A 24,976-nucleotide genomic window follows, 5' to 3' on the forward strand; every position below is an offset into this window, starting at 1 on the left:
TTAAATTCCCCTACATTTTTCTTCTCCCCTCCCCTCCCCTCCCTTTTCCCCTTCTTTCTCCTTTCCCCCTTTCACCCTTTTTCCCTTTTCCCCTTTCTCCCTTTCCCTTTCCCTGAACAGCTGGGATTACCCTTGTCCCAAGTAGCTGAGATTACAAGCACCCACCACCAGGCCCGGCTGATTTTTATATCTTCTGGTACAAATGGGGTTTCACCATGTTTACCAGGCTGGTCTCCAACTCCTGGCCTCAGGGGATTCGCCCACCTTGGCCTTCCAAAGTGCTGGGATTACAGGTGTGAGCCACCACTCCTGGTCCTCATTTTTCATAAAATCAAAATTCTTGCATATTCGCCTCCTTAGTTTATAGGTCAGAAGCTACACTAAGCTTCCCAATGTGCCTAGGTGTTAGATGTGCCAATTTACATATGCAACAAAGGACCTGAAAAGTAGAACATTAATACAACAGAAAATATTTTGCCTGAGGATATTGTTTACTAAATTTTTTATCTGTGCCTTTTAATAGTTCTTAGAATTAGTAAGTCCAATGGCATTCTATTTTTATGCTTTTTTTTCCTCAGATTTGTAGCATATGACAATGTGAATATGTTACAAATGTTGAATGATTCAGCTGACTACAGGCCAAACAAAATAGCATCAGGTTATCTATAGCAAAATGTGTTTCGGTTGAAGAAATATGTAGATTTTAAAGAAATTAATCTTACTTACGCAAAGAGTATGCTTCAGCAGCATATGTAACTTTAAAATTCATCTAAAATAGGTTGTTAGTACTATGACAGGAAGTGGCATTCAAACAAACAAAATATTCATAAGGATGTTAATACAGATTAGACATGAGAACAAGAAATATTTGGCTGGTCTGATTCTCTTGGGTCACTTTAAAAATTATTTTTAAAATTTTTGAAATTGAGGCATAACTTAAAATACAATTAAATGCATAAAGTGTGCCATTTGGTTAATATTTACAGATGTATACGCCTGTATTACCAGAGCCCAGATCAAGTTACAGATCAGTTCATCACCCCCTTACCATTTGTTAATACTTTTTATTGATTATCTAGGCACCTCCCACCTATCACTGTTCTACTTTCTGTCATATTATTTAGGTTGGCTTGTGCTTTTGAACTTACAAAAAGTCATACAGTACCAGAATCATACAGAAGCTTTTGTATCCAGCTCCCTTTAGGGAGCATAAGGTTTCTGAGATCCATCCATGTTGTTGCGTGGATTTGTGGCACATTTCCTTCTATTGCTGAGTAGATTTCAATTGTGCTGTTTGTTTATCCATTCTTTTTAAAATGGACACTTGTGGCTTGTTTCCAGTATGGATCTATTATGAATAAATTTCTACAAACATTATTTTACATCGCTTTTGGGAGTGGAATTTCAGTATGTGAAACTCTAAAGAAACTGTCAAACTATTTTCAAAAGCCCTTGAACATGTTATACTCCCATTGCCAATGTGTGTCAATTCCAGTTGCTTCTTATCCTGGTCAACATTTGGTATTAAAATCATTAACCATTAGAGAAATATAAGTTAATATCATAGAGAGATAATATGTTCTCTAGGATGGCTAAAATTAAAGAATGGCAACACCTGTGAACTATATTACTCATGGCACCACAAACAACAACATGAGTTTCAGCTTATTTGTATCTGTCTCCTTTGCCCCTGAGGCCCACAGGGTCAATGCAATAGGGCACGTATGAATATTACACTCATAGCAGACTTGTATTGCAGCTGAGAAATAATGAGCTTGGGGAATCTACTGCAGTTATAGCAAGTAGTAAGTGAGAAGGCTCTTTGTGTGGAAGAAAATGTAACCTCACCTCTCAAGGTTACCAGCTGCATAAACAACCATGAAAAAAGGGTCCATAAAAGAGCTTTTAGGCCTTTGTAGTCTTAGCAGACCCAACAAAACATGTAGGAGTGCAAGCTGCTTAAAGTGGACTGTCTCTCCATACATTATTGTGTATGGATAACATGTTCCTATATGGAGATCTTCTAAGAAATCTAGAAATCTAAAAGACACCAACTAATAAGTGAATTTTAGTAAGTTAACAGGATACAAGGTTAATATACAAAAATCAATTCTTTTTTATGTAGTAGTAACAATCTGATTATCAAATTAAGAAAAGAATTTCATTCACAATAGCATTAAAAATAAAATACTTAAATGTAGATCTTACGAAAGGTGTGCAGGACCTGTTCATGGAACACTATAAAACATAGCTATTAGAAAATAAAGAAGACTCAAATAAATTGAGAGACACACTATGTTTATAGATTGGAAGAAACTGGAATTGTCCTAATTGTAATAATCCTAATTGTCATACTTTGTTGGTGGGAATGTAAATGGTGCCACCACCTTGGAGAATAGTTTGGCAGTTTCTTAAAAAGTAAAAGCATGTACTTACCATATAACCTAGCAATTCCACTCCAAAAAATGTATGTCCACTCTAAGACTTAAATGTTCATAGAGGCTGGGCACAGTGGCTCACACCTGTAATGCCGCCAGTTTGAGAGGGCGAGGTGGGTGGATTACTTGAGGTCAGGAGTTTGAGACCAGCCTGGCCAACATGGCGAAACCCCGTGTCCACTAAAAATACAAAAATTAGCTGGACGTGGTGGTGCACACCAGGAATCCTAGCTACTCGGGTAGCTGAGGCAGGAGAATCGCTTGAACCTGGGAGGTGGAGGTTGCAGTGAGCTGAGATTGCATTGAATCTTGGCCTGGGCAACAGAGCGAGACTCCGCCTGTTGTAAAATGTAAAAAAAAAAAATGTAAATGCAAAAATGTAAAAAATGTAAAAAAAAATTTATATATATATATATATTCATAGCAACATTATTCATAGTAGATGATATGGTTTGGCTGTGTCCCCACTCAGATCTCATCTTGAATTGTAGCTCTCATAATTCCTAGGTGTTGTGGGAGGGACCCAGTGGGAGATAACTGAATCATGGGGGCGGTTTCCCCCATACTGTTCTCGTAGTTGAGAATCAATCTCACAAGGTCTGACGGTTTTATAAGGGGGACCCCCTTTTGCTTGATAGTCATTCTCTCTTGTTTGCTGCCACGTAAAATATGCTTTTCGCCTTCTGCCATGATTGTGAGGCCTCCTCAGCCACATGGAAATGTGAATCCATTAAACCTTTTTTCTTTATGAATTACCCAGTCTCAGATATGTCTTCATCAGCAGTGTGAAAATGGACTAATACAGTAGACAAAAACTGGAAACAACTCAAATGTCCATCAGCCACTGAATGGATAACCACAATGTGGCATATTCGTTGAACTGGTTGCTATTTAGTAATAAAATTAAAGCTACTGATAGGCCATGATTTCTTTATGTACTTAATTGTTGCTTAATGTTACCAATTACTCTTAATGAAGAATGCCGTCCCACTCCTCTCTAGGATTTTCGCATCACTCTCTTACAGTTTGCGTTCTTCCTTCTAAAAATGTTGTCCTTTCACTTTTTTCCTGTTCAAAAAAATCCAGTGATACATGTGACAGCTCAACTGTCATGCAGTTCTTGGCAAGAAAGGTGAGGTTGAATAGGAAACTTCCTGTTTACCAGAGGCAACTGGAATCACTCAAGAATAAAGGGACACTGTATTCACCATCATATTGCCAGCTTCTGCTCCGGAGAGATGAAGTACATGTCTTTAATATATTCTTCCTGATAAGTACATTTTAAAAGGCACTTTATATATAAAATAAACATAAGAATGAAAAAATGTAGGGAAGACAGACCATCTAGGAACCTGAGGAATTGAGGAAATTATAGAGATAGAAAACAAATTAGTGGTTGCTATGTATAACTGTAAAGGGTACCAATGAGGAGGATTGTCGTGGTAGTGAAGTCATTCTCTTTCTTGATTGTGGTGGGGGTTACGGACCCTAAACGTGTCATACAACTGGATAGATACATCGTTTCCTGGTTTTGATATTGTACTGTAATTTTATAAGATGTAACCACTGGTAGAAACTAGGTGAAGAGTACACATCACTTCTCTGTACTGTCTTTGCCAATTCATGTGAAGCTGTATTTCAAAATAATTTTTTTCTTAAATAACATTTAAATTCTGACTGGCAGTTTAATTTGTGCTTCAAAACTGATTCAAAAGGACTATGACCAATGATGAAAATGGTAAATTACAACAATTGGTCCTATAACCAACTCTCCTACATTAGTTATTAAAGTCAGTGTTAAGGGAGGCATTCCAGAACTTCTATAGGACATGGTGCAGATTCACCTATTTTCTTTCACATTAATTTTTGCCAACTGGATTTTTTTAGGTTGTCATATTTTTTCCAAAGAATTCAGTGGGACAAACGTTAGCAGAATTCTGATGCCCCACATTGTCCCTGTTGTGTGCTTGCCTCTAAAAAAATTCCTCTGTTAATAGCAACTTAAAATAAACATTATTGTAATGTTTAGAGGACATTCCTTTTGCATCATATTTTGATAGTGTCCTGTTACATGCAATAATAAATGCATGTCTCTCTTCATATGAGGCTTTAACAGCAATTTCATAAACTATAATTAGTTTAACTACATAATATCCTTAGGAAAAATGTAAATATTACCATCTCTTTTTTTTTAGGGGGTGGACTAGGGGATTTTGGTTGACTGAGCAATCAATCACATACAGATGGATAATTTGATATTCACTAAAATATTCACTTCTCAGCATTTCACTCTCGTGTTTCCTTGCATGACATCAATTGTCATTTAATAAGAAAGACAAATACACGTGTTTAATCACTCCCTGAAGAAAGTAAACACACTATCTGTGGGAAATGGAACACAATGAGAGGCGTGCCGTCAGCCTCAGGGTGCCCTGACTCCATTCCAGCCCTCTCCTCATATGCCCCATTTGCACATCACCCATCACTTTTGCCTAATTGTTTCTACTCACCAAGTGAAGATAATGGCTTCTTTGCCTGCTCAAGTGATAATTTGAGATTATATGTCTCATCAGATACTTTATTGGATGAATGAAAAAATGCACAATGATGGTTTTATTAAATTATGCAGTTAGTTACCAAGATGAATGGAACTACACCTATGCAAAAATCAAGATGTGGAGATAAGGGAGGTTATAGGCTGAGTTATTTAACCTTTAGGGCTCTTTCTGATATTTTCTGTGAGGGCCAAATAGAGTTCTCAGTGGACTGCATGTGAGTTTCTGCCAATGGCCTGTGGAGCAAGTGCCTGCAAGAGGGAACACTCCCCCAACTTCTGGGGTGATAAAGGATTTCTCACTGTCCCACCAGCCTGCACAGTAGGTTTCACCATTTTGTTAACTATTCCAGCTGAACTTTTCTTACTGACCTCTGGTTTCATCTATCTAAGGTGAGCTCCTGCTCACATCTCTCCCTGCGAGGTTCATATCTCTTTAGATTTTAGGCCAGGTGGTGGTTCTGCAAGCTCAACTCTCCAATGCATTTGTAAAAGATCATGAACTTGAAGTTTGTTGTAAGGGTGGAAATGAGGCTCCTTATAGCTTTCTACTTCCTGGGGCAGAAGCCAGAAGTTCCAGCCCATAGATTTTGATAAGTTGTATTTTCATTTTCATTCAGCTTGAAATACTTGCTAATTTCCCTTTTAGTTTCTTCTTTGATTCATTGAGTATGAAGTATGTGTTATTAGTTTCCTAATATTCCTGGATTTTTCAGAGAAGTTGCTATTGCTGATTTCTTATTTTAATCTATTGTATATCACAAAGATATACTTTACATGACTTAAATGATTTTAACTTTGTTGAAACTTGTTTAATGACTCGTTTAATGGTCTATTTTGGTAAAAGTTCCAAATGAACTCGAAAAAGAATACATGTTCTTCTGTTAGGTGAAACATTCCATAAATATCAATGAATCATATAGGTTGATAGTGATAATTAATACTTCTGAATCCCTATTTTCTGTCTTCTTGTGCAATCAGTTACTGAGACGGGGTGCTAGAATCTCCTACTGTCATTGTGGATTTATCTATTTCATTCAGTTTTACTAGATTTCATTTCGTGTATTTTGAAGCTCTGTTATTAAGTGTTTGCATGTTTAGGATTATGTTCTCTGATGAAAGAACATCTTAATCATTACAAAATAATTTTCTTTACCTTTTATAATAATTTTTGCACTGAAATATACTTTGTTTAATATAGCCAATCCAGCTTTTTTAAAAACTATTATTAGCATAATATATATTTTTCCATGTGTTTACACTTAGGCTATTTGAGCCTTTTTTATTTAAAGTGTGTTTCTTGTAGGCAACATATAGTTGGATCTTACTTTCTCATCTAATCTGACCATCATTGCCATTTAATAAGAGTGTTTGCACTACTTACCTTTAATATGGTTGTTTATATGATTAATTTTAAGTCTAACATCTACTATTTGTTTTTTGTTTATTCTTTGTCCATTTTCAAAGCTGCTAGGGAGTGTAGATGCATTTTGTAAGAGAATACATTTTATAAATTGTTATATACACTCTGAGATTTTAACCATAATTGCAGTTCTTTTTTTATGAACACATTTTTAGTAGGCTGAATATTCTTTCTGCTTCAACCTGCTAAGATTGAAGGAAATACTGCTGAAATAGAACATGTACACAAAGACAGATTCTGAGGGAGGGTTTCTGTATTTTTTTACTTTAAAGCAGCCTAGTTGAAAAAGACTGTGGTACCTGATTCTATATCTGTGTAGTTAGCCCTTTTTTTTCTAAATGAAATTAGATCTCAGGTAAATGTTTAAATTCCCCTCAGCAAAAAGGCAGATCTACTGACAAAAAGCATGGCTGTTTAAAGCCTATAAATCTCAGAAGTGGAATGAGGGAGTTTATTTAAAGCCAGCTTCACTCCTCTTCCCTATAAATTACATATAATCACACTGGAGTGTAGGAGCTGTGACAGTCCCTACCTCACGTCTCACTTCCCACCTCCTGCTCACCCCAGGTAATACCTGAAATTTTTAATGTGAATTAAAATGCAATTAGATGAGGAAAGAAACAAACAAATATATCTGGATAAAATCACATTTGAAACAATTTGTTATCTTAGTGGGAAGTGTCTCATGGGGACAAGGTTGACTTAACTGTGTGTTTGCTTGATATATAGAAGCCCCTAATAGTGGCTGGCTTTGAACATTTACTTTGTTTACTTATATTTTGTGCCCTCAATATCAAATTTAGTTAAGGAAGGTATAAGATTATGGTGATATGATGATAATCGTAATGATGATGATGATGATTTACCTGTGCATTATTTCCCCTGTAAACAAAGTCAATACATACTCTGTAACAGTGCTGCCACTTAATGACTAGATGCTATAGTCATGGGAAGTTTTATTGTTGTTAGTCAGAAACAATTCAGGCTCCAGCTGTAGGGTTTCTACTTTTCTTTTGCAGAGCCCCCTGCCCCAGATAGTGAAATGTAACTTTGACCTGATGTAAATGCAGAATTATAACACAGATATAACTGTACAAAATAGAGACATAATCCTGCCAGATTATTTATAACCAAAAAGTACTAAGTGATTGACAAATCATGTGAATATATTCATGGACAAGGATAAAAATGAAACATAGCTGATTTTAAAAATAATATCTTTCCATGTGTTTTAATTAGTGATTTTATTTTCTCATCTGTAAGGTAGATACGATAAAGACAACCCACTGAATGCTTTTAGAAATAAAAAATGATAATATGCTTGAAAATATCTGGTCGAATTCTCAGCATACAATATATGCTTCACAGTTTCTCACTTCCCCCTTTTCCCTTGTTTTCCATTACAAAATAAGTGGCAAAACTTTAATAATTTCCTCAGAACTTGAAAACTTAAAAGTGGATAAAACGGTACATAAGATAAAACCTATGTTGTGTGAACATTTAGGGACAAAACAGCGCAGCTCAGCATCTTCACTGTGGTACCAATATCAGCCTTTATAAAAACGAATTACCCTTTAAAAAATAACATCTGCTGTTCCTCAAGCCATATAAAGTGTAAGAGAAAGTTTCAGTTGCTCAGCATATTTTAATCTCATTCCAGTAATGGAACATGTGTGTCAGAACATATATTATGAATGGAGGGGATGAGTTTTCGTGATTCATAGGATCTGTGGGGTAGAATTGTGACACTTTATTTAACTCAGGTGCAATGTCTTGTCAGAGGCAGGGGGAGGAGGGTGAAGTGGAGAAGAAACATTTGTTATGGGGGAGAGGCTGAGCTTAGAGGACCTAACTGCTTCCCCTGTTTTGTGTACAAAGTTTTGTTGACCATAGACTAGAAGGGACTATGAAAAGACACTTCCAGGTTGAAAATTAGTCAGCACATGTATAATCTTGACTTAACAAATAGAAGACTTTCATTTGTTTTAATTTAAAGACAACAAAAATTGAGTATAACATCACATTTGAATAATAATTTAGTTACAAAGTGCTGTAGTTTCAGTTATCCCATTGTCTTCCTTACAGTCTTGTGAGGTGATTTATATGACTGTTAATCCCCCCCTCCCAACTTTATGCTTTTCTTTTTTAAACAAAGGACAACATTTTTGTCTCAGAGAGGCTGAGTGAGTGGACAATTACCACACTCTAGTTGGGGGTGGAGTCAGCCAACCTCCTTTCTCTTTCTGTTACCCATAGTGGCCTTCTATACCAACCATCAAAGCTGCCTTTAACAAAGGCACACAGACTAGTGCTATCCAGCAGTGCACAGGTCAGTCACGCTGTGTTTCCCACCATTTCCACTCAGCGTTTAATTAAATTGTGTGCACAGCAGCTTACCCTTAAAACGCATCTGGGATTGCAGATTGTAACCATGAGGCTACAACATCCTGATGAAATTCTTTGGTAATGCCAGAATTTCATTACTTTATCAGTAATGGCTGAAAATATAGCTTATTTGCATTTGAGTACTACTTCATCAAAGGTAAAATGAAATCACTGAAATGTGTCATCTGTTAGCAGGAGTGCAACCATGAACACCAACAAACTAACAAACTGTGAGGGATGCCGAGAAGAGGGATGGCCAGTGGCTCCCTCTTCATCTAATGAAAACACACCATCCCAGGGTAGCACACCAGAACCGTGTCAACTCATTTTCCTCCTTGTGCTTCTCCACATGTGTTCTCATAGTAATTACTTTTCTAAACCTGGAATGAGAGGGAGTGAAAACACCAAAGAAAGGTTATGAAATACAAGCTGAAGAGGATGCCCTTCATGCTGACTAACCAAGATGAGGGGAAGAACCAAAAATATTGAATAGTTCCTCAGAAGTTTCAGCTCTGTGTATAAAATTCCCAATGTACAACATCCAGCCTAAGATGATGGGTTGGCTGTTAGCATCTCCTTCACCTTCTCCCAACTCTTTTAAAACAACCATAAAATAGGCTGGGCCCAGTGGCTCATGCCTGTAATCCCAGCACTTTGGGAGGCTGAGGTGGGCAAATCACTAGGTCAGGAGACCAAGACCATCCTGGCCAACGTGGTGAAACCCCGTCTCTACTAAAAATACAAAAATTAGCTGGGTGTGGTGGCATGTACCTGTAATCCCGGCTACTTGGGTGGCTGAGGCAGGAGAATTGCTTGAACCAGGGAGTTGGAGGTTGCAGTGAGCAGAGATCTCGCCACTGCACTCCAGGCTGGTGACAGAGTGAGACTCCATCTCAAAAAAAAACAAAAACAAAACAAAACAAAACAAAACCCCTTAAAATAGTAATAAGAAAAACAGAAAAGGATACACAGTTTCAGTAGTGTTGTACCTAGGACCATTGGTTGCTAGTTAGACCAACCCCAAAAGGATCTCCCACCAATTAAAGTTTACATAGGCTTAGGAGAGAAGAGTAGATCTGGTGGAGTCAACAGGAAGGGCCAGTAGAGAAAACCCCATTGGCACTGCACCCTCAGCTTTCCAAAACCCAGACCTTGCCTGACCAGGAGTAGGAGAGGTTGCCCTGCTGCATGGGGGCTGCTGCCTTAGGTAGCCAGACCTGCTCACTCCCAAATGTCTTTACATCTTTGTTACATTTATTTGAGAAACACCACATCCCATGATTATCATCAAAATAATATAATAAAAATATTTAATTGCACAGGTTCTGGATCCAAAGCTTGTGGGCCCCTTGCTAGATGCGTAAACATAGGTGAGCTGCCCACCATCCATATGGAGGGTAGTAATGAGGCCTTGTCTTTTAAAGGTATGTTAGGAATTAAATGCAAAATTTACTTAAAGGGAACTCTTTGCCTGACCTAGAGTTCTCAAATGCTCGATAAGTGTTCATTGTTAAATTGAATGATTATGGAAGTGGGTACGTGGAATTCTGTTACATCCTGAAAAGTTAAGTTGGAAGGAGGAATGAGCAGAGAGAAGAAACTGTGGAAGTAGTTCCTACTGAGGGCTAAAGAAATCTGGGCACTGTCTCTGGCAGGGGCTCACATAAATATTGCTGTAAATCATCCAAGAATAAATCTTGCCCGATCTAGGAAACCATGTTGCATGAGTGGAGGATGCCCCTGGTCTATAGCAGAACATTTAACTTTGAACAAGAGCTGTGTCCACCTCCTAGCTGTCTGGATTAAGAAAATATATGGAGTATTTTAGTGTCAATCAGATGCACAGTGTTGGTTATCAGTAATTTTCCATCTTGTCTACTAGATCAAATTCCTGACTCTTCAATTCAGAACATAGAACAATAAAAAGCAAAACAAACAAAAATTATATCTATATATATGTCTGTGTACATACTATATATATAATATAAACTTTAGAGGTGCTTATCATACATTCAGAGGAAAAAATATTTTTGAACAAAGATTCACTACAAAAATATCTTAGAATCTGACTTCTAAGAATCTGTAAACTTGGGAATCATAAGGAAACAGTAGTTAAGTGTGGTCATCAATTCAAATAGGTGCCTAATATTTATATTTCTCAACACTTCCCCATAATAACTTATATTAAAGTATAATGTCCTCACTTATTCGTTTTTACACCTAGCTATATTCTAATAATATCAAACTTTTTTGGACATGTAGTGAAGTACTAAAGACTTTACAAATGAGGACATAATGATAAACTCCTAATAATAAAATACACAGTATAAGTCAATGAATAATAATGAACTGTCTAGAACTTCAGAATTTCTGTCAGAGCCTTCAGGTAAGTGGCAGCACCAGGGAATAATAAAAGTGTTCTGACTCCTCAGCTTGGGAATAGTTTATAGAGCACTCTCTTTTTCTAGACATTGATTATTAAAGAAGCTGTGGTTTTCGAGTGTCCCCTAATTCTATTAGACTAGAAAAATAACAAACATCAATAAAACATCAGCGGACATGCCTATGTTTTTGTTTCAGATGTGGCATTGGTCAGAGCAAAAAGAGCAAATTTTCTGCTCTGCATGCATCTTCTTCAATACCCAACAGTCTCCTTTTCCTTGTCCAAGGTGGATGAGCGCTGTGTGAGGCTTGCCCCAGTTTCCCTGCAGTACTGCCAGAGAGAGCAGAGTGCACCAGAACCTGCTTAGGACTCACCTTGACCATTTGCTACTCCATACCTTTTTGTATTTTTTTACCAATATCTCCTCCACACCCCAGTTCCTCTTAACCATCACTCTCCTCTGTACTTTTGTGAAATCAACTTTTTAGAATTCCACATGTAAGTGGGATTGCCTCACAAAGCACTCTATGTTTTAACTCTTCTTTTACATCCATTTCTCCTATGAGACTGTAAGCACTTTGAGTGCAAGGTCAATATATTAACCGTCTTTGTTTTATCAGTGCTTAATGCTGTACTTCCTACTACTGGAATTTAGTCTCTTATGTTGGCAAAGGGCAAATCTTGCACAAGGGCTATGAAATAACACTAGTTCCAAAAGTTGACAGGAATGCTCTAGTGGCCACCTGCATTAAACAAACATTTTCTGCAGTCAGTGGGACACCTGCCTTCTAGAATATCAGGGGTCATCTAGCTAAATGTGAACACAATTTAGGGTTCATCCAGTCACATGTAATTATTCTATTTTTTCTATTGTAAATCGATGATTTTCTTAATATATATTCATAATTTTATAGTTTTCTAATCTAGTAACAGCTATGTTAAATAACTTCCTCCTCTACCATTTTTATACTTTTTCTATTTCAAAAAAGGAGCTGGTGGCTGGACCCCACTTGTGTCAAATAAATACCAATGGCTGCAAATTGACCTTGGAGAGAGAATGGAGGTCACTGCTGTCGCCACCCAAGGAGGATATGGGAGCTCTGACTGGGTGACCAGCTACCTCCTGATGTTCAGTGATGGTGGGAGAAACTGGAAGCAGTATCGCCGAGAAGAAAGCATCTGGGTATGTTTCTAATAATAATAATTGCTACCTATTGCTGCAAACCTATTAGAAAAACAGAATTTTAAGAATTACTTTGAAAAAAATGTTCTAAGTGAAAGTAAGATACCTATTTCATTGAAAGCATTGAAAGAGAATCTTATACCATTAAATAGTGTGGAAGTTAAAAAATAATACAAATCATATATAATTTATTTTTTCTTGGTTTGCTTAATAAAGTAATTTAACATTGCCTCTGCAGTATTTTAGAGTGGTAGATTGAATTCATTTATTTTCTCTGATTTGATCTGATATTTTTGAAAGACACTGAAATTTCAAAATGTAATAAATGAGCAGTTTCTGTGTGTATGACAAGTACAGGAACACAGACTTTGAACTTGAAGAATTGTGTGTCCTTTATTAAGCAGCCAGATTTAGTTTTTCTTGTTTTTTTTTTTTTTTTTTTTTTAGAGACAGAGTTTCGCTGTTATCACCCAGACTAGAGTGCAGTAGCACAATCTTGGCTCACTGCAGCCTCTGCCACCCAGGTTCAAGCAATTCTTCTGCATCAGCCTCCTTAGTAGCTGGGACTACAGGCATGTGCCACCACACTTGGCTAATTTTTTTTTTTTTTTGTATTTTTAGTAGAGACAGGGTTTCGCCATTTTGGCCAGGCTGGTCTCGAACTCCTCACCTCAGGTCATCCACCCATCTTGACCTCCCAAAGTGCTGGGATTACAGGAGTGAGCCACCGCGCCTGGCCAGATTTAGTTTTTCATAGACTACAGATCTCTGTGACATTCTCTGAATCTGTAAATATCCTCATAACAGTGACATTATTTCTGTTTCTGATTATATGTCAGTGCCTCTTTGCCGGGGTAATCACTTTTTGTTTGACTTTTGCAGCTACTTGGGAGGCTGAGGTAGGAGAATCACTTGAACCCGGGAGGCAGAGATTGCAGTGAACAGAGATCGCACCATTGCACTCCAGCCTGGGCAAAAAAGAGAGAAACTCTGTCTCAATAATAATAATAATAATAATAATAATAATAATAATAATAATAATAATAATAAGTATTTATTACATAGTGTTTGAAAGTAACCTGTATCTGTTTAAAATCTTGCTCTGCATTGATTAATAATGTTTAAAATGTTGTGGACAGTTTCCCTATAAAAGAGATGCTGTAAGAGAAGACTCATATAGAGTCTGCATCGTATTTGTAATTTGGCTCTTTCTTCCTCCTAAAAAAAAATACGTCAATGACAGAGGTACCGTCAGCATTTTTGTTACCAAGTTAAGCAGTTCAGAGGGAAACCATAGCCAAGGCAATGCCATTTGCCAATTTTGCTTACTCTGAAAGGTTACTAGCCTGTGGGGAAAGAGCGTAAAGGTTAAGGTTCTTACTAATCCAGAACACTTAAAATGACAGATGTCAACTCTCATGATCTTACCTTGTGTAGGAGCGTGTTGAGCTTCACTGGAACAAGTGATTTACTTTCCTGGTGCCCCCTCACAGTGTGAGCTTCCTTTCAAAGTCACTGTGCCTGCCTTTCATCCCTGCATCTCTATCCTGGATTGACTTGTGGTTTCCCAAAGACATATGTTGGAATCCTAACTCCCAGTACCTCAGAATGTGACCTTAATTGGATATAAGTTTTTTACAGAGGTAATCAAGTTAAAATGTAGTCAGGAGGGTTGACCCTAATCTAATATGACTGGTGTCCTCATCAAGAAGGACCTTTGGACCCAGAGACAGATGTACACACAGGGAACACAGTGCAAGGACACATAGGGAAGCAGCCCTGTGAGGAGGGAGGATTGGAATAATGCATGGACAAGCCACAGAACACCGGAGGCACCAGCAGCTAGGAGATGGGCATAGAACAGATCCCTCCCTAGAGCCTCCGGAGGCAGCACGGCTGGCAGACACCTTGATCTTGGACGTATGGCCTCCATCACTTTAGCTACCTAGTTTGTGGCACTTTGTTACAGCAGTTCTGGAAAACTAACTCAGCCTCTAAAGCCTAACTGTGCCTAACAGGACTAGGACATCAGGAAATGTTTCCTGAATGAATGAGGGAAATTCATCCTCTCCCAGGATGCCTTTTTTGAACAACCACACTGAAAATGATCCTTCCTGGCTCTGCACATCTCTTGGACTTGTTTTGGACTAAAGCAATGAAATGTAGTGCTATGAGGGTTCAGGACTCAGCCTTCCATCGTTTTGAGCTAAAAGGTTTTTGGGGATAGGGCTTTATCTTTGCATCTCCTTCATCCTCCATCACTGTGACTGGCAAATTATAACCATTTAATAGCTTCATTTCCTACTCTGTGACCAACTATACAGAATTTGCATGGTGAAAAAAATGTTAATGCTACTGAAGAGAGAACCCACAAAACAAACCAGAGATGGTTCTTGTGAGTGTTCAGTTATAAGACACAGACCCGAAGACACTTGAGAATGACAGGCCTTGGAGAAAGCGTTACCTCATGAGTTGTTGGAAAATAATTCAGGAGGATATTTCAGAAAGCAAAAGTAATGCAAACAAAAACATGGATAATGGATGAGATACACAAAAAACAGTGAGCTGTAAGATGTGAAATGGCTGTTCAGACTGAGATGGAGAGAATATGGGGAATTTGCTGAAAGTTGTAAAATTGCAAAGAGAGAGGCTGTCAAGTTTGGATTATAAAATACCTATGTAGATATTTGAGTTTCTTTTTTTAAAAAAAACTTTTACTTTTTGTGGGTGCATAGCAGGTGTACACATTTATGGGATTCATGAGATACTTTGATACAGGCATGCAGTGCATAATAATCACATCATATAAAATGGGATATCCATCCCAAGTATTTATCCTTTGTGTTACAGACAATCCAATTATACACTTTTAGTTATTTTAAAGTGTACAATTAAATTATTATTGACTATAGTCACCTTGTTGTGCTATCAAATACTAGGTCTTATTCATTCTTACTATTTTTTTGTGCCCATAACTATCCCCACCTCCTCCCCAGCCCCCCACGCCCCTTCCCTGCCACTGATAACCATCTTGATTCGCATTTCTTGAACTGCTACATCAACATCTCAGGGACATATTCTCCATTTGTTTATTCATTAATCCATTCTTTTAGTAAATAAGCAAATAATTATGGTAGAGGTTAGTAATATACTCTTGGGAAATGTGAGCTGAGTCATAGTTATCATATTCTTCACTAGGCATGTCCCTTGTGTCTAGTATTTTTCCTATCAAAGCTACTTCTGTAGAAATAAAGTTCACTGACTGTATCCTATTTATTATTTTCTTAAAAAGATGGGCTGATATTGGCTGTCCTCCAGTCTTATCATTGCTGCCTTAACAATAAATTACATCTCTTATTAGAGTTTCTGCCCTTTACCAAGGCATTAATTTTAGATATGAATGGATGATATTAAAATAACTTAAGATTTATTTTTGATACCTAAAATATTAACACTCTTGATTAATGAAAATTATGTTTTTATAGGCTTACTATCTTTCCCAGCACATTATTATCTTTATTATTATTATCTTTTCCTGACCACAGCTACATCCCCTGCCCTCAGGGTCATCGTATTAACCTTCCTGTACCAGGAGAACAGAATGCATTTCCAGCTCTCTCCTAGGGATCCTGCTGCCTCTACTTTTATGTTAAGGACACATTAAAAATGCATTCTCCAGTCTTATATATTTCTTGTATGCTCTCCCTCTGTCGTTTTATGGCTTTGTTTTTTTTGGTCTGGTTTTACCCATTACCTATGCTAATGTTTTCTATTATTAAAGATCCACAGTTGCTTATCTGCAATTTTTAATTCTAAAAACAAAATTATTAAAATGGTGAACCCTAAGCAGACCCAAATTTATTTAGCAGCAAAATCTGAATGTACTGACTTTGGGGCTATTTGCATTTTTTAATTACTCTGCTTAATGTGAATATTCGTATGTTTTATTGCAAAAATAGTAACATATGTGATTACCACCTAGTCACTCATATTTGGTGTATACACAGTATGACCTTTCTAATATATGAAATGAATCTGAATCTAAAGCAAATCTGATACCAAGGCTTTAGATAAGAGATTGTATAGCTGTCATATCAATCACTGACATTTGATTATCTGAATGGATTAATATATCAATCCACATTCTTACTAATTACATGCTTCACATTGACGCTTCAAGGGCTAGACTGAGTTTGTGTTGAGAAATACCCAAGAAAACTAGATGTAACTCCCAGATTTATGGAATCTTCAGAGTAGTAAAAGCTCTGTTCAAAAGAGAGAATCCCTGTTACTTACAACAGGAATACATGAATATTTTCTGAGTAACAGAACAAGCTTCATTATGTATTATACTTTCAGTTAACAAAATGTGTTTCAGGACACAGACTCACTTGAGGTGAATAATCTCCTCATCTGCTACATCATTTTAAAAGGTGCCATTACTCAAACAAGGTCAAAAGAATAAACAACAGAAGAGGGAAGATAAAAGATAATTTTCTGGGAGAACCATATGTGTGTGTGTGTATGTATATATATATATAGTAGTAGTAGTAATAGGAATGGCCTTAAAAAACCACCTGGCCTAATAAGAACAAATGTTCTGAATCAGAAAGAGAGAAAAGATATTTAGAAATCCACCTAACCATGTCCTGGAATCATGCTGAGAGATTATACCATAACATTCTATTAACCATAGTCCCAGATTAGCAATCACTGACAAGCCATTTTCCCTCATGTCTATTTTTCACTTATTTCTGAAAGAATAAAGAATTAAATCTGCTAGGAAATATAGAACTTTTTAATTCATTGTGAAATTTTCTTCTGGTTGGGATTAGATATATTCAGGTTATTATCCATCCCTGACATATGTTTCAAGTTCCCCTCTGAGCACCAGACTCCATTTCCTTTCGGATGTCAAATAGTCACATCCAAAACTAAGTTTATTATCTCCATATCCTTCCCATCACCAAACCTATTACCCCTGGGTTTCCACCTCTCAGTAAATATCACAGCATTTACCAATTGTTGGCTTGAGCCAATATGCGTGGAGTTACCAATGACTTCCATTCCTTCACACTCCACGATCAATCCATAGGCATATCCTGTCAACTCAGTCGTTAGACAGATCATGTCAGTCACAGCTTCAGAGTATATGTGGAGTCTGACAGCTTTCCCTCACCTCTGTTATTACCATGACAGCCCAGTTGCCCACCATCTCTTACCTGGACCATTGCCACAGCTTCACATCCCATCTTGCTTCTGCCTTTGCAACTGGCTTCCAATTTAAATCTATATAATTTTATTTTCTTTAATTCTTGCTGTAAATTGCCACATCTTTTATGCACCATATGAATGTAGTCATTTTCAATAAAGAACTGACCTTATTTAGATAAAAAGAAATAAGCAACTTCGACCGTATTCTCTGCTTATCTGTGGCTTCAAATATTTTGTGCTATGTTCTTCTAGCTGCTCTTTAAAAATGTCAAGCAAGATCCATCCTTTGTACTAGCTATTCAGTATTTCTGAAATTTTCCCCTATAGCATAGATAGCTTCCTCAATTCATTTCTTGGGTAAATTATCTCTTCCTGATAGAATTCTTCTAGATAACCTAACCCCTAATATGCATAGAACACACACACGCAGACACGCACGTACACAGCTCCCACTGCCCTCCCCACCCCACCCGCCTCCAGCCTGTGTCTTCCCTGGTTTTGTGTTTCCTTATGGAAGTCATTATTTCTTGTTCCCATGTATGGAATTTTGTTTTTTTCCTGTCTGTCTCTTCTCACTAGGAAGATTTTATGCAAAGAAAGAAAATGTTCTCTGAATAATATTATTGGACTTTGTTTTTTAAAACTTTCTGACAAAGAGCATACAATTTGCTATAACTGAATTCTTGTTTCACTGGTCTTTATCAGTGTTGAGAATTTTTGAGATCCAAAATGTAGAACCGTTCTAACTGGGAAATCTAAAAAAGTGTCCACTAGCTGTCATGGGACGTTTTTGGGGCAGTGGACAAAGTGCATTAGTAGATCTCCCATGGCCTGTGTGTATTTGTTCCTAATTGTTATCTTTATTTTCTGGGCCTGACTGGAGCAAATGTGAGTGGAACTAACGGAGGGGGCAGAAGGAAGGTCAGAGGTTGGAGATCTGCCGATCAGCACTGAGCCCAGAGGCAGCAGCTGTCTGGACTGACTCAGTACCTGCTATGAGAGAGCAGGAAAGGATGGCAGACACTGCAGTTAGCACAGAGACAGAAACATTCTCAGTCTGAGTGTGTGTTACATGCCAGACACACAGTTGGTTGACAGTAGGGAAAAGAGAGGCTGAGGGTGTGGCTGGGTAGCTACCAAGCCGTGAGCCAGTGATGGGCAGCGACACAGTGAGTCAGAGGAAGAGCAGGTCTGCAGGACACGTCAGCCCTGCTGCCAGGTGTGGTGTCAGCCCAAACAGCTGCACCTGTGGGTCCAGAGGTGGTCAGCGGATATCTAGTTTCGGTCGGCCTTCATTCAGCCTCTGGCTGTCATGGCCACTGGGTTACTGAAATCATGGCTTGTTTCCTTCTGTATCTCTCCATCTTCGTGTACAGCTTCCCTTTATCCAACACGAAGTCAGGCAGATTGTCCTTGTAAGGCAAACTAAACATTAGCAGAGGCAAGTACACACACAACAACACTCAGGAAGTTAGAGAACATTCTTTAGTCGCTTGAAGCAAAAGGGCTTTTCCTGGCTAGGAAGCAAAAAGAAAACATTGTTTCTAAACTTGAAGCTAATGCCATCTACCATTTATGAAGAGCTCTTTGTGCATAAGGCTGTGTGCTCTGGGTTTCCAGCACTCCCACATTTAATTCTTGCACAATTCCTGTAAGGGTTACAGTTTCCAAGAAGGTAAAGAAACAGTCTCTGGCTGTGAAAGGGCTCTTTTTCACCTTGTTTCCTAACTCCATTTCTACAATAGCAAAGGAGTGAGAGACTTAGTGGTGTATTTGTCCTTATGAAACATTCTCACTTAATTCTAATTTTTTATATATATATATTTATATACACACACACATACACATACACACACATAAATGATCCTCCTGCAAAGCAAAATATATGTATATATGTATACACATAATATAGATAAAGATGTATAGATATAAAATCCATCTGAAACGCAAAGTGTAGAGAAAAAAGAAGAACACAAAATCCTGCTAGGATGTGGTGCCAGTTGAATAGGAGACATTTCTTCATGTGGATTTAGAGTTGAGCAGAGTAGCCCAAGCTTTAGAAGTTTGTTTGAGATGGATCTGTGCTAGCAAGGAATGTCACATCAAGTGACACCTCTACAAATGGATCTTTCTAATACTTGTGGGCCTTCTTCACAAATTAAGGGTCAGCATGGTGTGTTGCCAACTTCACAAATTATTCAGAAGATTTGAGTTTCAGCTGTAGGATGAAATGAGTTCAGGGGCTGGATGCAGGTGGTGGTTGAACAACAATGTGAATATATTTAATGCCACTGAACTGTACACTTAAAATGGTTAAAATGGTAGATTTTATGGGATATATATTTTACCACAATAAAAATTATTTTAAAAGGCATCCTATGAGTTAAATAGTCAATGTGCTATATTAGTAGTGCATGAGTTACACAGCCTTGTGTTACTTTTTTTCTCTCTGATTTTAATTGGGTCTGATTATTGGTAATATTGGTAATATTTGGTAATATTTGAGCAACTTGCTTTTAACTGTAGGCTTTTGAAAAAAACCATTTTTTTGTGGATTCTTAAATATTGTAGTAAATGGAAATGCCCTTTTTATGGGAGCCTGTGCTGGGGCTTCACAGTCACACAGAGTTGCCTTTGAGAACAAGAATCAGTTATAAACTATGTAAAGTTGGGTAATCTAACTTATCAAAGTTCTAGCTTTCTCATTTGTAAAATTTTAATTGGGTCTGAGTTTTAATAATAAAACCTTTATTCTGAAGGTTTTATTATATTTTTCAGAATAATAAGACTCCTAAGGTTAATGTTTTTAGTCTGATGTTATTGATTCAGTCCCATTAGTGTGAGGGAGAAGCCTTCTGTGGTATGATGCCACTAGGAACACAGAGGTACCACCTGTCAAGAAGGATTTAAGCCATTGTTGCGGTGACTGAGTGAGATGCCAGTACTCTAAGTTCCATGGGCAAACACGTGACCTTGAGAAATAGCAGAAAAGATTTTAACACATATTTATGTTAGATTAAATGGGTAACTGCCTGGGAATTTTATAGAGTATCCAAAATAGCAACTGTGGGTGAGTGTTATCAAATGATTAAGCATGGAAGTGAAGTACAATAACCATACTCTTTAAGGAGAAGCCCTTCCAGCTCTCTTCCCCACTTTGTGCCCTAATCTGGTGACAACATCTTAGAAAGCACTTGTGATGATATGAAGAATAATGGGGCTGATCCAGAATCTAACTGATTTATTCCACAGTAATGGTTCTGTTTTGTCAGGGATTCTGTTGTTTTGTCAAATTTAAAATCAATATAGCACTTCAGTATCATTTTGTTGTTGTAATAGTGAAAATCCTCAGTGATTTCTTTAAGCTGCTCTGTCTTTTAAGAGAACCTCTACCACAGCCCCAAAGGGGACCCTGTCAGTGAAAGTCTGGTTTACCAGCCAAATCCTCAGATATCTCTCTAGTTCCCCATTGGCTGTGAGTTATTTGACCTTCTGAAACAGCTGCCCTAGAATTGTACAGATATCTTAAAAGGTATTAACTTTCATTTTTAAATCAGTGACATTGACAAATCAGAGAAGTGTGCTGGTCTAAGCAGTTTTGTTTCAAGCAGTATCCTCTGTTTTACTTCTATCCCAGACACTGATGAGCAGGGGTGTTTTTCTACATTGAAACTTTGGCTATAGTGATAAATTATCTCAATAGGAAGTATAATCCTCTATATAATTAGTGAAAGTTTTACTTAAACAAAAGTGAATATTCTAGTTTCTGATGAACATTCACTAGATAATGGTTTTCTTGTTTAGAGAGTGTATCTTTGTGTGCCTCTGTAGAAAATTCCTGTGAGCTGCTTTTTTTTCCTCTTTCATTGCGATCAATTTTTTAAACTGATTATTCTATTTTAGGTAATATTTGAGCAACTTTCTTTCAACTGTAGGCTTTTGAAAAATCAGTTTTTGTGGATTTTTAAATATTACAGTAAATGGAAATGCCTTTTTTATGGGAGCCTGTGCTGGGGCTTCACAGTCACACAGAGTTGCCTTTGAGAACAAGAATCAGTTATAAACTATGTATAAAGTTGGGTGATTTAACTCCTCAAAGTTCTAGCTTTCTCATTTATAAAATGAGCATAATTGTGGGAGGAAAAATAAGATTATCCACTTAATGAGCTTAACTCTGCGCTTGGCAGATAATAAGCTCCCATAAGACCTTTGTTGTTATATTTTTTCTTCTTATCTCTGTTGCAGCACTTTTCTATTATTTAAAACTTTTTCTATCAAGCAGTATTGTCTGTTATTCTTTCATATAGTTTTGTTCACTTATAGCATACTACGTCAATTTTCATAAACAAGATTGTATCTATATGGATACATGTAATAGAACATGAATATGTATCAAACACTATAAAATTTAAATTTATATATAAGGATGCTTATAAAATGACTCATATTGACTATATTCAAATTGATGAGTTTCTAGAAGGAAAAATAAAAATAGTAGGGAAAGCAAATAGAAAATTTTGTTTGGCTCCATCTTAGGAGTTCAAGGAGAGAGGCCTGACTAAAGTTTCTATTCAGAGATACAAAAATGTTTTAATACTTATACATCACAGTATATTATCAATGCAAAACCACATAATCTCCTTTCCTCTTTCCCTCTTAATGGTGCTATGATATTCTCAAATTCTATGTATGACTTTTTTTTATAATTTGGTCTCAGAGAGGCTGAGTTTGGAGTTTCCTTTATTTTGTGGCAATAAAGATTTATTTATTCCTTCATTCCTGTAACCCTGAAAAAGAATTTTAGGCCCTTCTCACTAGGGTCTATCCTTATTTTCCTATGATACAAAGAGTATTTCAATTAGAGAAGAGACTAAACAAGAGGCATAAAAAATAGGAACCAAGTAAAAATTATTATTATTTGATCCTTGAAAACACACATAAGAAAATCACCTGGGCCAGCGTGGTGGCTCATGCCTGTAATCCCAGCACTTTGGGAGGTTGATCACCTGATGTCAGGAGTTTGAGACCAGCCTGGCCAACATGCTGAAACCCCATCTCCACTAAAAATACAAAAAAATTAGCCAGATGTGGTGGCAGGCGCCTGTAATCCCAGCTACTCGGAAGGCTGAGTCAGGAGAATCACTTGAACCCGGGAGGCAGAGGTTGTGGTGAGCCGAGATCATGCCACTGCTCTCTAGCCTGGGTAACAAGAGTGAAACTCTGTCTCAAAAAAAAAAAAAAAAAAAAAGATTCAACAGCTCACATTTTTTAATACTTTTTTTTGGAAATTAATTTAATAATCAGAAATACCTCCCTTTGTATAAGTTATCAGTTAAAATGAAAAGAAGCAAATACTGTTTATAATAGATTTAGAAGGCATAAAATACCACTGGCAGGCAGGAGAGGGGTAAGAAATGTACAAGCTACATGGGAAAAGAAAGGTTAAAACTTTACTATGAGGTATATAAGGAGATCTGTGTAAATTCTCATTTATGGATATGAAGACTCAGTAATGTAAAGATGTTAATCCTCTCTAATTTAACCCAGAATAAAATGATGTAATTCAAAATTTTACTTTGAAGAATGTTCATTCAAGAATAAACAAGGCAAGTGTACAGATGCCAGCAAGATGGTGAAATAGGACATTCGTCTGCAGAATCATCTATTTGAACCACTGTTGACATCTGAAAATACCACCGAAAGAGCTAAGTGAACTTAAAAGAAAATAGAAAAATAATTCAAAATAGCCAAAGCAATCCAAAGCAAAAAGAACAAAGCCAGAGGTATCACATTACCCAACTTCAAACTAAAAGGTTACAGTAACCTCAACAGTCTGGTACTGGTATTAAAACAGACACATAGAACAATGGAACAGAATAGAGAACCCAGGAATAAAGCTGCATACCTACAGCCATCTAATCTTTGACAAAGTCAACAAACATAAGCAATGGGGAAAGGACTATCTATTCAATAAATAGTGTTAAGATCACTGGTGAGCCATATGCAGAAGAATGAAGCTAGAACCCTACATTTTACCATATATGAAACTGAACTCAAGGTGGATCAAATATTTAAATGTAAGACCTCAAACTGTAAGAATCCTAGAAGAAAACCTATGGAACACCGTTCTGGACATTGGCCTTGGGAAAGGATTTATAAGTCCTAAAAGCAATTGCAGCAAAAACAAAAATTGACAAGTGGGATCCGGCTAGACTAAAGAGCTTCTGCACAGCAAAAGAAACTATCAACAAAGTAAACAGACAACGTACAGAAAGGGAGAAAATATTTGCAAACTATGCATCCAACAAAGGTTTAATATTCAAAATTTATGAGGAACTTAAGCAATTAGGCAAGCAAAAAGCAAACAACCCCACTTAAAAATGTACAAAATATATGAACAAACATTTCTCAAAAGAAGGCGTAAACATGGCCAATAAACATATGAGAAAGTGTTCCACATCACTTATCATCAGATCAGTGCAAATTAAACCCACAATAAGATACCATCTCATACCAGTCAGAATGGCTATTACTAAAAAGTCAAAAAACAACAAATGCTGGTGAGGCTGTGGAGAAAAGGGAACACTTACATACTGTTGGTGGGAATGTAAATTAGTTCAGCAACTGTGGAAAAAAATTTGGAGATTTCTCAAAGAACTTAAAAGAGAACTACCATTCAACCTAGCAATCCCATTACTGGGTAGATATCCAAAAGAAATCTAATCATTCTACCAAAAAGACACATACACTTGTGTGTTCATCATGGCAGTATTCACAATAGCAAAGACATGGAATCAACCTTGGTGCTTATCAGTAGTGGATTGAATAAAGAAAATATGGTGTATATATATACACCATGGAATACTATGCAGCCATAAAAAATAATGAAATCATGTCCTTTGTAGCACCATGATGCAGTTGGGGGCCATTATCCCAAGTGAATTAACACAGGAACAGAAAATCAAATACTGCATGTTTGCACTTGTAAGTAGAAGCCAAACATTGATAACTCATGGATATAAGGATGGCAACAATAGACACTAGAGACTACTGGAAGGGAAAAGGAGGGAGTGGGACAGTGGTTGAAAAACTAACTGTTTAGTTAGTACCTGGGTGAAGGGATCATTCATACCCCAACCTCAGCATTACACAATATACCAAGGTAACAAACCTGCATATGTACCTCCTGAATCTAAAATAAATGTTGGAAAAAACTAGAGATCCGGAACTGGGACTGCTCTGGTTTGAATGTGTCCCTCAAAATTTATGTTATGAGGGAGTGGGTTTCTTATAAAAGGACCCTACTTTTGTCTCTCTCTCACCCATGTGATGCCTTCTGCCTTGTTATGACACAGCAAGAAGGCCTTCACAGATGCCACCACCTTGATCTTGAGCA

General features: G+C 37.2%; 1 pseudogene across 1 annotated transcript in view; it reads left to right on the forward strand.

Moving 5' to 3' along the window:
* The window catches only part of CNTNAP3P2 (CNTNAP3 pseudogene 2), a 237,697-nt pseudogene that overhangs the window by 38,765 nt on the left and 173,956 nt on the right, over nt 1-24,976 (forward strand). Inside the window, exon 3 of the transcript NR_111893.2 lies at nt 12,173-12,366. The product of NR_111893.2 is annotated as a CNTNAP3 pseudogene 2 (transcript). The remainder of the gene's footprint in view (nt 1-12,172; nt 12,367-24,976) is intronic.

This window comes from Homo sapiens, chromosome 9 (genome assembly GCF_000001405.40).
Source record: "Homo sapiens chromosome 9, GRCh38.p14 Primary Assembly".
NCBI classification, from domain to species: Eukaryota; Metazoa; Chordata; class Mammalia; order Primates; family Hominidae; genus Homo; species Homo sapiens.